Here is a 14687-nt window from a genome sequence, read left to right as displayed (position 1 = left end):
TCTGTTTTATTAACTATAGCTATTTTAAACTAAATCAACAACAGAAGGCCCTGACGAGATTTATTTGTTGTTCTTTTTTCAGCCTGAAACAGAAATCTGTAAATATACTAAACATTCTAGAAACTGTGGTACGCGTGACCAAGGAGAATGTATGAGAATGTTTATTGCAGCTTTGTTTGTAATAGCAAAATATTGTAAACAACCTAAATGCCTTTTAAGAGAAGAATGGATTGGGGTTCCATCATACAATAGGCTGCTGTATGTCAGCAGTAATGAATGAACCAGAGCTACATATATCAATGTAACTACATTTAAAAACAGAGTTGAAGGAAATATGATTTTAAATACTTGTGATAATCATTTATGGATACAGTCTTTTTTTTTTTTTTTTTTAAAGACGGAGTCTCGCTCTGTTGCCAAGACTGGAGTGCAGTGGCATGATCTTGGCTTATTGCAACCTCGGCCTTCTGTGTCCAAGCGAGTCTCCGGCTTCAGTCTCCTGAGCAGCTGAATTACAGGGATGTGCCACCACGCCCAGCTAATTTTTGTATTTTTAGTATATATGGGATTTTGCCATGTTGGCCAGGCTGGTCTCGAACTCCTAGCCTCAAATGATCCACCAGCCTCGGGCTCTCAAAAAAGTGGTGGGATTACAGGTATAAACCAGTGCACTCGGCCAGATACAGTCTTTTTTTTTTTTTTTTTTTTTTGCAACAGGGTCTTGCTCTGTTGCCCAGGCTAGAGTACAGTGACATATTCATGGCTCATTGCAGCCTCTGGTTCCTGGCCTTAAGCGATCCTTCACCTTGGCCTCCCAAGGATCTGGAACTGCAGGCATGTGCCACTGCCCCTAGCTAAGGATACAGTCTTTTTTTTTTGAGATGAAGTCTTGCTCTTGTTGCCCAGGCTGGAGTGCAATGGGGCGATCTCGGCTCATTGCAACCTCCGCCTCTTGGGTTCAAGCGATTCTCCTGCCTCAGCCTCCTGAGTAGCTGGGGTTACAGGTGCCTGCCACCATGCCCAGTTAATTTTTGTATTTTTAGTAGGGACAGGGAGGATACAGTCTTATGTAGAAAAATTATAAAGACATGTATGGGAATAGCAGATGCTGTTCAAAATGATACTGACTTCTAGAGAAAGAGGGAGGAGGGGGACTTCGGGGTACGCCAGCATCTTGAATTGTATTTTTTTAAATTTCTTTAGCTGGTTAGAAGGTATGTAAGTGTTCTTTAGCATATCTTTTTTTGTTTGACTGAAATAGTTTATAGTCAAAGATCAAAAAAGGAACTCCACCTAGTAGGTGAGGTTCTGTAATAGCCGTGAAAGACCAAATTGAAATAAGACTTAAGGGACATCTTGACATGTTAGCTTCTGTGTTAGTATTGAAGCTGTATCTCATTTTTGCTAAAGAAGCATTGGAATCAGTATTTCAGCTTCTACTCTATCTGTTTTATTATTATTTTTACTCTGTAGGTTTTACGCACTTATAATTGATGATAGTTTCACACCTAGATGTCTCTTCTTACTGTTTATGACTTTTGGTTTTGGGGGTTTTTCTCTTCTGCAGCAACATTTAAAAATATTTTATTCAAGGCTGGGTGCAGTTGCTCATGCTGTAATTCCAGCATTTTGGGAGGCTGAGGTGGGTGGATCACTTGAGGTCAGGAGTTCGAGACCAACCTGGCCAACATGGTGAAACCGCATCTCTACTAAAAATAGAAAAAAATTAGCCAGGAATGGTGGCATACACCTGTAATCCCAGCTACTCGGGAGGCTGAGGCAGGAGAATCGCTTGAACCTGGGAGGGGGAGGTAGCAGTGAGCCAAGATTGCACCACTGCACTTCAGCTTGGGTGACAGAGTGAGACTCCATCTCAAAAAAAAAAAAAAAATTTATTCGAAATGAAAGAGCTTACACATTTATAAATAGAAGAGATTTTGAGGTTTACATTGTATGTTAATTGTCTGCATAGAAGAATCTGAGTTTATTAATATGAGATTGGGATTTTCAAGTAAAGCATGTTGTTAGAAGTCAGGATAATGTTTATCCTCCTGGGGTGTTAGTGACCGGAAGCAAGTGTGAGGGCACTTCTGGCTTGCTGGTGCTCTTCTGTTGGGTAACCAGTGCCCAATTTGTGACAAGCCCTGTGCTGCGTGCTTAGAATCTGTACACTTTTCTCTGTGTTTATTGTACCTTAACAAAAATGTTTAAAAATATACACATATTGTGAAAAGAACAACTTAAGGCAAATTAAACAGAGTTTAATTGAGCATAGAACAATTTGTCAATTGGGCAGCCCCCTGAGCCAGAATAGGTTTACAGTGACTGTGGCACTGTTGCGTGATTGGAAAGGGTTTATGGACAGAAAAAGAAAGTGACGGACAGAAAGTGGAAGTGAGGTACAGAAACAGTTGGATTGGTTACAGCTGGACGTTTGTCTTATTTGCACATGGTTTGAACAGTTGGCTGCCTGTGAGTAGTTGAAGGGTGGCTGCTTGAATTGGGTGAGACTTGGCAACACGTACAGAGAAACCTTTAGGCCAAACTTAAAATATGTAAGGAGGCAGCTTTAGGCTAATCTTCAGTTAACACTGTATATCATTAAAAATAGAAAAAAAGGCAAAATATGCTCATTAAAAAAATTGGAACATATAGAGGAATATAAAGCAGTGGAAACAAATTTTGGAAGCTGGAAAAGTATACAAGTAAAATAGCACCATATAGACAAAATCATTATTGTTTACATTTTGCCACATTTCCTTTCACTTCATTTTGGGCATTAAAAAATAATGATAAGCCAGGCACGGTGGCTCACACCTGTAATCCCAGCACTTTGGGAGGCTGAGGCAGGCGGATCACCTGAGGTCAGGAGTTCGAGACCAGCCTGGCCAACACGGTGAAACCCTGTCTCTACTAAAAATACAAAAATTAGCCGGGCGTGGTGGCGAGCGCTTGTAATCCCCGCTACTTGGGAGGCTGAGGCAGGAGAATCTCTTGAACCCAGGAGGCAGAGGTTGCAGTGAGCCGAGGTTGCACCATTGCACTCAAGCCTGTGTGACATACTGAGACTCCGTCTCAAGAAAAGAAGTGATCATACTGAATAAGCAATTTTATAGATTACGTTTCCCAGTTAATATTTTAGCTTCAGCGTGTCCTCATGTTGTTAGGCACTTTGCAAGTGTTTATTTTTTTACAGGTTAAAATCTTTTTCTGTTACAGGCAAGCACCACAGTGCGTGTAACCAACTCCAATGCCAATGCGGCCAGTCCCCTCATAGTTGCTGGCTACAATGTGTCTGGCTCTGTCCGAAGTGATGGGGAGCCCATGAAAGGGGTGAAGTTTCTTCTCTTTTCTTCTTTAGTAACTAAAGAGGTAAGCAAAGAAAAGAACAAAAGAGATGGTGTGAAGGGTAGGAGGGTGGGGGATTATAGACCAGAACATACTGTTTTAAAAAATGCAGGTCTGAGTTGATTTATCATTTTAACACTTAAGAATATCGTCTGTCTCAGGCCGGGTGTGGTAGCTCATGCCTGTAATCCCAGCACTTTGGGAGGCCAAGGTGGGTGGATCACTTGAGGTCAGGAGTTTTAGACCAGCCTGGCCAACATTATGAAACCCCATCTCTACTAAAAATACAAAAACATTAGCCGGGCATGTTGGCACGTGCCTGTAGTCCCAGCTGCGTGGGAGGCTGAGGCAGTAGAATCGCTTGAACCCAGGAGGTGGAGGTTGCAGTGAGCCAAGATCACGCCACTGCACTCCAGCCTGGGTGACAGAGTGAGACTCTCAAAAAAAAAAAAAAAAAAATTCAAGAATATCATGTGTCTCTGTTGACTCACAAGACATTGCACATCTACACTGGGAGGCAGTGGTATGTGATGGAAAGTACACAGGCTTTGAAATCAGACCTGGGTTTAAACAAATCTCAGGTTTAAACAAATTCCTCTTCCTAGCTATGCGACCCTGGGCCGGTCACATTACCTTCCTGAGCTTCCGTTTCCTTATTTGGAGAATGGTGACCCATGATAAGGAAGGACAGTCATGTCATCTTTCCCGGGAAGACTGTGCCAGTTTTTAACTTTGCAACTTGAATGTCAAGATTTTTGTTCCTTTTATCTGTATTAATGTGTCTTAGATTTCAGAAATACATATATTGACATGAAACTTAAAAAAATTTTCCTATAATGTGGCTAATTGATGGTATTCAGAACATGTAAATGGAAAAGGAAGTCTTGTCTTTTTTACCCCCTGGCATAGGATGTCCTGGGCTGCAATGTCTCACCAGTGCCTGGGTTCCAGCCCCAAGACGAGAGTCTGGTGTATTTGTGCTACACGGTCTCCAGAGAAGATGGCTCGTTCTCTTTCTATTCCTTGCCAAGTGGGGGCTACACTGTGGTGAGTGAAGCAGATTTCCGTTCTGTTTATGTCTGGGACTCTCATGACACAGTAAAAGCCAATGCTGTTTGGGTGTTAAAGGAAAAGATGGTTGGCCTGCAGTTCTCTGAACACGCTGTTAAGCAGTAACTTACTTAAGATGAGACACTCACCCCTTCGTAATAGCTACAAAAAGGGCAAGGCTTCCTCTTTTCGAATCTGCAACAGTTATGATGAATGTTTCTCTTGGTCTGTCTGAACCCCTTGTCATTTGTGGGCTGCTAGATCGATTATTAATATTGCTGATTGATCATGTTAGTGGTTCTTAGTGATTAAGAGACTCTTCCTTCCAGATTCCGTTCTATCGAGGGGAGAGGATTACCTTTGATGTGGCGCCTTCCAGACTTGACTTCACAGTGGAGCATGACAGCTTGAAAATCGAGGTAAGGCTTTTCTGTCTTCTGGAGGGACAGGTGTTTGAGTTCCCATCCCTAGGCACAGGTATTGCAAACATGTTTTAAAAAAAAATCAATTATTTTATCTGGAAGGGCTGTTGGAAAAAATGCCATCTGGTATTATATTCTTACCCATGATGTCCTTATCGTAGAGAGCTGGATTCCTAGTTAAATCTACTCATTCAATGAAATATATTTATTGATTGCCAGTGACATGCATTTCAGGCACCATTCCAGGACTGGGGATATAGCAGTGACCAAAAGAGGCAAAAATTCTTGTCCCTGTGGACCTCATTTTTTTTTTTTTTTTTTTTTTTTAAGATAGGGTCTCACTGTGTGGCTCAAGCTGGAGTGCAGTGGTACGATCTCATCTCACTGCAGCCATTGCCTCCAGGGCTCAAGTGATCCTCCCACCTCAGCCTGTTGAGTAGCTGGGACCACAGGCACGTGCCACCATGCCCAGCTAATTTTTGTATTTTTGTTAGAGATGGGGTTTCACCATGTTGCCCAGGCTGTTCTCTAACTCCTGGGTTCAAGTGATCTGCCTGCCTCGGCTTCCCAAAGTGTTGGGATTACAGGTGTGAGCCATCGCACCTGGCTAGACCTCATGTTCTAATGACAGGAAGGGTCAATACATGTATAGATGTATAAGTTAGAAAGTACAGTAGAAGGTGATAAGTGTTCTCTAGAAAAATAAAGGAAGAAAGGAGGTCGTACAGTATCAGGGTGGAGACAGGGGTTGCAGTTGTACATAGGGTGTTTTTGGGAAGTCCTCCCTGTGAAGGTGACATTTGATCAACAACCTGAAGGGAAAGAACAAGAGAACCATACTTCACTCCTGCAGGAAGAGTGTGTAAGACTGAGGGAACGGCACGTGCAAAGGTCCTGAGGCAGGAGTGTGCTGAAGGGTTTGGGGCATCCCAAGGAGGCCAGGGTGGCTGGAGTGGAGGGAATGAGCAAGGAAGGAGGAGGCGGAAAGAGGGTCAGGGAGGTGACAGGGCAGATTGTGCAGGGCTTGGTGGGCCACTTTGCCTATAACTCTGGGTGAGAATTGGTGCCACTGGAAGGTTCCTAGCAGAGGAGTGGCGTGATCCTTCTGGCAGCTGCATTGAGGAGAGTTTGCAGGGTGTCAGGGTGGAAGTGGGAGACCAGTTGGGATGCCATGGCCGTAAACCAGGTGAGAACTGGCAGAGCTTGGACCGTGATGGTAGGAATGGGCAGTGTGATACATGGCTTGATAAACTGCCTAGACCCTCACATAAATGGTAAATGTATTTTTCATCTCACTTACGTCTCCTTTAATTACAGAAGTAGAAAATGGTTACTGTAGAAAATTGGCTAGCTAGAACAAATCCCAAAAGAAAATAACAGCCTCTCCTAAGTGGACCACCCAATGTTAGAGTTATCGAAGCAATTATATTTTAATCATTTTCTTTTAATAATTACATTTGAAAGTACTGTGTTAAAATCGCTTAAACTGGCAGAAGCGGACTTTTAGGTCATATGCACAGTGGGGTGCAGACTCTGCATTTTAAGATTCAGTGGAGTGTTTGACTGTTCTGCTGTACACTGGAGGGGAAAGAGAAGGGTAAGAAGATGAAGCCTTTACTTTGCTTCTCGTAGCTTGCAGAGAAGGATGGGGGCAGGTGAGCAGAGACAGCTATTCCCAGATTACAGCCAAATACATATTTTGAAAATGATGAATGGAATTTCAGGGAATGGGGCCCTGTAAGTTCCCTGAGGTCAGGTACCGTGTCTTATTCTTTACTGTTTTCCTAACATGTGATTTAGTGCCTGGCACATAGTAGGTGCCCAGCAAAAATATTTGTTGAGTACATATGTGAATTAATAAGTAGGTAATGCATGGAATGAAACATGTCTTTTTGGAAAGATCAGGAAGGACTACCTGTCATGTGAGACCATCACTAAGAAACCATTTGCTGAAAAAAAAAATAAAAAAATAAAAAAGAAGGGCTCCCTGCATAAAAAGGAAGTCATTTAATTATTTAAAGCTTCATCTCAAATGCTGTTGCACACGTGCGTGCACACATTCATTCATTCAGGAGTCAGTTATTGAGTGCCTGCTGTGTACCAGGTGACTAAGACAGAAAAAGTCCCTGTCTCCATGAGGTAACATGCTAGTGGGAGGGAGACAACTAAGAAATCGAACGAGGACATTTCAGATACTGGTAAGTTTGATGAAGATACTAAAATGGGTTAGCAGTGGTGACCTTGGGGATACACAGATCAGGGCTGGAACTCAGTAACTGCAGAGAAAGCACAGGTGTGCTGCTCACAGGCAAGTGGGGCACAGACACAGACACAGACACAGACACATGGAGCATGGGACCACGTGTGAGCCAGTGATGGTGGTGGAGGAGGGTGGTCTAGGTGGATTTCTTTTTTTTTCTTTGAGACAGAGTCTTGCTGCGTCACACAGGCTGGCACTGTCTTGGCTCACTGCAACCTCCGCATCCCGAGTTGAAGCGATTCTCCTGCCTCAGCCTCCCGAGTAGCTGGGATTACAGGCGCCTGCCACCACACCTGGCTAATTTTTGTATTTTTAGTGGAGACAGGGCTTCACCATGTTGGTCAGGCTGGTCTTGGACTGCTGACCTCAAGTGATCTGCCTGCCTCGGCCTCCCAAAGTGCTGGGATTACAGGCGTGAACCACTGCGCCTGGCCTAGGTGGATTTCATAAGGACCTGTGTTCAGGTCGTGGTGGAAAGACAGGAGGGGACACGTGAGACCTTGCAGAGGTGGAATCCACAGGACTGATCGATGCTGGAGGAGCGGGGCGGGGCATCCAAAGTGATGCCGGGGTGTGCATGGGAGACTGGAGGAAGACGTGGTTCACCAAAATGGGGGCATCTGGAGGGGAGGAGATGGCACAGGGGTAAGGGTGGGGGGCTTCTAGAAGCTTGAGTCAGTGACCTTTTAACGAGGGAAGTAAGTCTCTAGACTTTTCTTTTCTGTTGTTTGACACTCAGCAGTGTGTTGGGAACACAACAGAGAAGACAGATGTGGGTAAAGTGAGAGGGAGCCCGGCTGGCACACAGGACCGGGGCACTGAGTGTTGGGAGGTGGGCGGCAGGAGCAGACATGGTAGGTGGTGGCCGGCGCAGCAGAAGGAGGCTTTGTGGCTCTGGCACAGGAGCACCTTCGAGCACCTTCTTCTTGTTCTTTGTTTTCTAGCCCGTGTTCCACGTCATGGGATTCTCCGTCACCGGGAGGGTCTTGAACGGACCCGAAGGAGATGGTGTTCCAGAAGCAGTAGTCACCCTGAATAACCAAATCAAAGGTGGGCTGACACAGCAGCCCCAGGCTGATGGCCAGCGCTCTTTTTGGATCACAGAGAGAAATGGAGAGGAACTGATGACTATATGAGAACATGGCAGCTTTTGGTCCAAGTATTCTGGTGTACATGTAAGGATACACTGTTATTTTTGGCTTATCTTCTGTTTGTGTGTTTTTGTTTTACAGTTAAAACAAAAGCTGATGGCTCATTCCGCCTTGAGAACATAACCACAGGGACATACACCATCCATGCTCAGAAAGAGCACCTCTACTTTGAAACGGTCACCATCAAAATTGCACCGAACACACCTCAGCTGGCTGACATTGTTGCAACAGGGTAAGCTTATCGTGTGGATTTGGAAGCACCAGTAAATATGCTGGCAGCCAGTGTAGAACCAAATGACCTGTGATCTGTGTGTCTTTGCCGAGCTTAAGAACTTAAGAAAGATTAGTACTTTTTTTTTTTTTTTTTTGAGAGACAGAGTCTTGCCCTGTTGCCCAGGCTGTAGTGCAGTGGTGCCATCTCGACTCACTGCAACCTCTGCCTCCCAGGTTCAAGTGATTCTCCTGCCTCAGCTTCCCAAGTAGCTGGGACTATAGGCGTGCCCCACCACACCCAGCTAATTTTTGTATTTTTTAGTAGAGACAGGGTTTCACTATATGTTGTCCAGGCTAGTCTCAAAACTCCTAACCTCAGGCTGTCTGCCTGCTTTGGCCTCCCAAAGTGCTGGGATTATAGGTGTGAGACACTGCACCCGGCCAAGAAAGATTAGTTCTAAATCTTACAAACTGAAGGTACTGACATGTCGGATGCTTAATGAAAAGTCCCTTGCTTCAAATTAAAATGGGCTTGTGAAATTAAAAAATCTTTCATGTCTGACTTTCACGATCTTTCACAGGACCCCTCTTTGCTTAATCTTTGAGGATTTTTGGAAGATGGTATTGTTGGTTGAGAAAGCTTATTGGAAGATGCTTCAGGTCATTGGTGTAGTTCTTCCTGCTTGTAGTTACTCATTATACTATAAGTACAGGCAGGGACATCTTGTGGTTGAATTCATGTGGTTTTACCATCATCTGAAGCAAGATTGTGTAGTGCCAAGAACTTGGGCTTTGGAGTCAGATCCCAGATCCACCTGTATGTAACCTGCAGAACAGCTTTAGACATAACAGGTGCTCACAAAACAGTAGCTTAGAAGGAGACTGCAGGGTCTGCTTGGGAGAAGCGCGGCATGAGCAAAGTCAGGCAGTCTCACAGCAGCATGAGGTGGCTGCGGGTGTAAAGCTGGGTGCTACTGGAGCAGAATATACTGGCAGGTGAAGGTGATGATGAGGCCAACCCCATAGCACCTCCTCACACCCCACCAGGGCGTAGGGGCTTTCTCCCACTGGGGCCAACGGGCCATGAGTGGTTTTGAGCATTAATATAACAAGCTTTGATCATTGTTTTCAATAGGGCATTCTGAAAACAGTGGCATGGAGTAGAGTGGCTTTGAAGGGGACAGGACTTGGGCACAGGAGGTCTGAAAGCAGAGACGACAAGGGCTTGCCTTGTAGGGAAGTCAGGGACAGACTGGTGAGATATTTAGGGTGCCCAGCTTGAGAGGTGTGATGGCTGGGGACAGAAAGAGAAGCCAGTTAGGTGATGAGGGTTCAGATTTGGCCACATTGGTCTGTAGGACCACTAGGTGGAGCTCTTCAATAGGTACTTGGATGGATGGTAAATCCTGAAGATTTGGCCGCAGGTGGCAGCCAGGACCTCAAATATGTATGTGCAAGTAGAATTAGAAGAACAGTAGGCCAAAAACAGAGTGCCAGGTGGCCCAGGGGGGACCTAGGGAGCGTGAGGTCATAGGAGCTAAGAAAGTAAGTTTGGGGTAGGAGGTAGGGCCCAACAGGGAGGTGCAGGGAGCTGGGCCCTGGTGAACACAGTCCCCTGGCTTGATCACTGAGGAGGCCACAGTGACTCTTCTGTAGACAGATGGAGGTCGAGGTCAAGGAGTCCAGTGGTGAATGGAAGACAGGGAAGCAAATTACCCTCAGAAAGTAATTCTTGGATTTAAGTCTTTCCCACCTTCCATAAACACTTTGTGCAATTACTCTAGATGAGGCACTGAAAAATGCTTCGTACCTAATAATTAATCAAACTAGTGTTCCAGAGATGGGGCTTTCACCCTTCCAGGGAGACAGACTGAAGACAAATACATCTGTGGCCAGGCTTAATGCCTCACACCTGTAATCCATCCCAGCACTTTGGGAGGCAGAGGCGGGTGGATCGCTTGAGCCCAGGAGTTTGAGACCAGCCTGGGCAACTTGGGAAAACAACATCTCTACCAAAAATGCAAAAATTAGCTAGTTTCATAACCTGGTCTAAAAATAAATAAAGAGATAAAAATTAAAAAATAAAATAACAAGATTTTAAAAAAAGACAAAAAAGACAAATACATTTATGCTGCTAAATTATGGCAAGTGTTGTGCAGGGAAGAGATCAGGGTGCTGCAAGAAGAGCTAATTTAGAGTGGGAGCTCTGCAAGGCTCTCTGGGTTGCAGAGACCTTAGTAAAGACTAAAAGTTAGCTAAAGAAAGATCTTCCCTAGTAGAGAAGCAGCATGCTCAGAGGCCTGCATAGGATAGGAAGGACCTGAAAGGCAGTCTGCGCAGCTGGAGGAGGTGGGTGAGGTCAGGGAGCTCTGGGGCCTTGTAGCCTTGCTTTGGGATTGGGCTTTGCTCCCTAATGCAGTGGAAACCCGTTAGGAGTTGTCTGTTGGTTGGCCGGGCATGGTGGCTCACGCCTATGATCTCAGCACTTTGGGAGGCTGAGGTGGGCGGATCATGAGGTCAGGAGTTCAAGCGCAGCCTGGCCAGCATGGTGAAACCCGGTCTGTACTAAAGATACAAAAGGTTGGCGGGGCATGGTGATGCGTTCCTGTAATCCCAGCAACTCAGGAGGCTGAGGCAGGAGAATCGCTTGAATCCGAGAGGCAGGGGTTGCAGTGAGCTGAGATTGCACCATTGCACTCCAGCCTGGCCGACAGGGTGAGATTCCGTCTCAGAAAAAAAAAAGAGTTATCAGTTGGCAAGGGAGTGATAGGGATCATGGTACTTTAAAAAGTTTGTTTTTCTTCCTGGCTGCTGTGTGGAGAATGGATTGGAGGAAAGCCATGGTGTGAATGGAGGGGCCAGATATGAGGCAGTGGTGGTTGTCTGGAGGAGATATGGTAGTGGCCGGGCCCAGGCGGCTGGCAGGCGAGGGAGGGAGGAGTAGATGGATTTGGTAGGTCACATGGAGAACACACCCACAGGCCTGTGCTGTTGAGGTTACAGGTTTCTTATTTGAGCCACTGGGTAGATGGAGGAGGCGCTGTTCACAGAGATGGAGGAAATATATTTATTTTCTCCTTTAAAGTAGAGTATTTGGGTCAAAGAAAGAAAAATAGCATTTGTTGAACATTTTTGGAAAATCTCTTTTTTTTATTGGCCGACGTAGTACATTTGCCTTTTTAGCACACTGATACTTCTTACTATTTCTTTTCCTTTTTATTTTTTTTTGAGACAGGGTCTTACTCCGTTGCCCAGGCTGGAGTACAGTGGCGCCATCTCGGCTCACTGCAGCCTCCGCCTCTCGGGTTCAAGTGATTCTCCTGCCCCAGCCTCCTGAGTAGCTGGGATTACAGGCTAATTTTTATATTTTTTAGTAGAGATGTGGTTTTGCCGTGTTGGCTAGGCTGGTCTCGAACTCCTGACCTCAAGTGACCCACCCGCCTCGGCTTCCCAAAGTGCTGGGATTACAGGCTGAGCCATGGTGCCTAGTCTTCCTTTAAAGTAAAATAAAAAAATTACTCAATTTATTGTAAAAACAAACTCTTTGGCTTCTGTCCAAATGACTGTGAAAATAGATTTCTCTCAATATCCACCAATATTACCTGTTTCTGTCCATATATGTATTTAAACCCTGTTGAAAGAATTTATTGATACAAATCAATTTTTAAGGGCTTCAGTATAACGGAACCTTTTTCTACCACCCTTTTGGTTTATTTTTCCAAACTAAGCCAGTATAGATTTGAGGTTTAGGGAAAATAGGCACTTCTTTTTAATAAGAATGTGGGCTAAAACAGATCTTATGGTTCAAATATTTACAACTTAAGGAGGCAAAGAGATTTGATAGGAAATAGACAAGGTGATGTGTCCTCTGACAGGTACACAAATCAAGAGAATATGACAGGTCCTTGGGAATGATTGTGTCAGTGTTCGCTTCCCATCCTTTTATTCTGAAAGTTCACAGTAGGGGAATGTGAGAACCAAAATGCATATGCTAGGTCAGGGACTGGGACACTTTCTCTGTGGAGAGCCAGAGAATAACTATTTTAGGCTGCGTGAGCCATACGGTCTCTAGGACAACAGCTGAGATAGACATTTGTAAATGAATGGGCAGAGCGCAACACAACTACATTTTTGGACACCACAGTTTGCATTTCATGTAATTTTTACATGTGAAATATTATCTTTCTTTTGATTTTTTTTTTTTAACTTTAACCACTTAAGAGTGTAAAATTCTTTTTCTCGGCTTGCAGTTCATACACAAATGGGAGGGGGGTCCTTGGGTGGTAGTTTGCTGACCCATGCTGGAGATAGTGAGCTCATATGGCTGGGCAGTCCCTTCACTCTGAAGAAATGGCTGTGTTTTTCATGATTCCTAGATTTCACATACACAATCTTCCACCATTTCCTTGTGTTTTCCACTGTTTTTTTATTTGAGGCGGAGTGGTGGTTCCAACATTTAATGTACCCCTAATTGTCAGAATCCAACATTCTTGATTATCTTTATGTCAAAAGTAACTAATTTTTATCTAAAATGATTCTTGAAGATTCTTTAAAATGAACAGTTGAAAAGACAACTGTGACCCCCAGCTAGGATGTACTATTACACTTTAATACACCAGCTGCTTCAGAAATGAAGACCAGCACTCCAAGGATGATGGTCGTTGTAGGGGGGCCTCTCGTGTGTTATTCGAGGGATGCCTTGCAACACCTTACTCCTTATTTAGAATCTCAAATCTGAATCATTACCTTAATAGGGCTTTTCAGTTATAAGTTACATTTGTGGCTCCTACCTCCCAAGGAGTTCAATTTTAGCTTTGCATTTTTTAACTTAATTACCTTTTCTGTTCCAATCTCCCAGTTTGCTTTCATCCATGTATTATATATAATCACAAGCAAGGAAGACGTCTTTGATAATCCTGACTTATTTGATGGCCTGATAATGCCACAGTTTCTTAGGCAGCTTAGAGCTCTTGCTTTTAAGGGCTAGCCCACATTCTCAGTCCAAGGCCGCTCCGCTGTCAACGATCCAATTACCTGAAACGTTTTTATTATCTGCAGATTTTCTTAAAATTGCCTCTGCAGTGGGGGATTGCCACATGTCACCCGGAACACACAAACAGCCCCACTACGGGCCCCTGTTCTGTAGAAAGATGCCCAGTCTTGCTTCTGAAGGTTGCTTTTTAAAACCAGAATGAAGGTTGCTTTTTAAAACCAGAATCATCTGGACTGCATTCTGTCTCTTCATTAAGATTAGACTATTCTCAGGAACAAGGGCTGGGAGAGGGCTGCATCTTTTTTGGTCGATAAGAGCCTTTCCTGTTATAATTGAGTCCTCGTGCTGGAATGAATGGTCTTCTCTTTGCAGGTTCAGTGTCTGTGGTCGGATATCAATCATTCGCTTCCCGGACACCGTCAAGCAGATGAATAAATACAAAGTTGTCCTGTCATCTCAAGACAAGGACAAGTCTTTGGTCACCGTGGAGACAGATGCTCATGGATCATTTTGTTTTAAAGCAAAACCAGGGACTTACAAAGTGCAGGTGCGATGCATTGTTTTAAATTTAAAATGTTTTGAGAAAAAGCAGTGATTTTTAGAAGGGTTATTAGGTCGAATGGGGTTAGAGAAGGAGCATTCCAGTTTCCAACTTCTTGTTTTTAAGTCTTTACAATCCTGCACCAGTAGAGGAGAGTCAGATAGGCATCCAGCTAAAAAATAATGCCATCTGCCTCTCTTTTTTCCAGTCTTGATGTTTATTAGTATCAGGCTGCCAGTCACTCCTCTACCTTCAGGCTTCTGGCTGCTGTAGAATGTCGATGAGTCCAAGAGGACACCAAAAATGAACTCTACTAATGGCCGCTCAAAAATGGCCATAGTGCGTGGCTTCTGGGACCCCAGGCCAAAATGGAGCTTCCCATTTCCTGCTTTGCCTTGACTTCAAGATGGCTAGGCAGGGACCACGCGACTTATCCATTCAAGCAGGCCGAGAACGGGGAGACGGTCTGGCCTGTGGTCTCCTCACCATGGTGAAGGCCCAAGCCACAGCTGGCCCAAGCAAGCAAGAGACAGGACAGAGCAGAGGTCAGCCCACCATGCCTTTCAGTGCAGTGGCCCTGCCCTTGGGGAGAGACTGTTTCCGTGGGCTGTCACCCATCAAATCAGCAGCTGCCCTTCCTCCCTGTGGAAGAGCAAATAACACAAAGGGAGAGGGCCGAGAAGGTTCCCTGTTAGACTCTGCTGTCCTC

General features: G+C 44.7%; 1 protein-coding gene across 3 annotated transcripts in view, besides 1 other annotated feature; it reads left to right on the top strand.

Annotated features, from left to right (window-relative positions):
• The window catches only part of NOMO2 (NODAL modulator 2), a 62186-nt gene that overhangs the window by 15124 nt on the left and 32375 nt on the right, over positions 1–14687 (top strand). For all 3 annotated transcript variants that reach the window (NM_001004060.2, NM_173614.4, XM_017023156.3), the window contains exons 7-12: positions 3220–3372; positions 4258–4395; positions 4728–4817; positions 8025–8130; positions 8313–8463; positions 13810–13984. In NM_001004060.2, coding sequence (NP_001004060.1) covers positions 3220–3372; positions 4258–4395; positions 4728–4817; positions 8025–8130; positions 8313–8463; positions 13810–13984 — 813 coding nt within the window. The remainder of the gene's footprint in view (positions 1–3219; positions 3373–4257; positions 4396–4727; positions 4818–8024; positions 8131–8312; positions 8464–13809; positions 13985–14687) is intronic.
• Positions 10997–11498: an enhancer, noted in NCBI's record as "H3K4me1 hESC enhancer chr16:18546813-18547314 (GRCh37/hg19 assembly coordinates)". NCBI's record gives its function as "activates a minimal SCP1, AML or CMV promoter by ChIP-STARR-seq in primed H9 embryonic stem cells {active_cell/tissue: H9 hESC(primed)}" and the evidence as "EXISTENCE:reporter gene assay evidence [ECO:0000049][PMID:30033119]".

The sequence above is a fragment of the Homo sapiens genome, chromosome 16 (genome assembly GCF_000001405.40).
Source record: "Homo sapiens chromosome 16, GRCh38.p14 Primary Assembly".
In the NCBI taxonomy this organism is placed as follows: Eukaryota; Metazoa; Chordata; class Mammalia; order Primates; family Hominidae; genus Homo; species Homo sapiens.
This window is presented reverse-complemented; position numbering and strand designations above follow the sequence as displayed.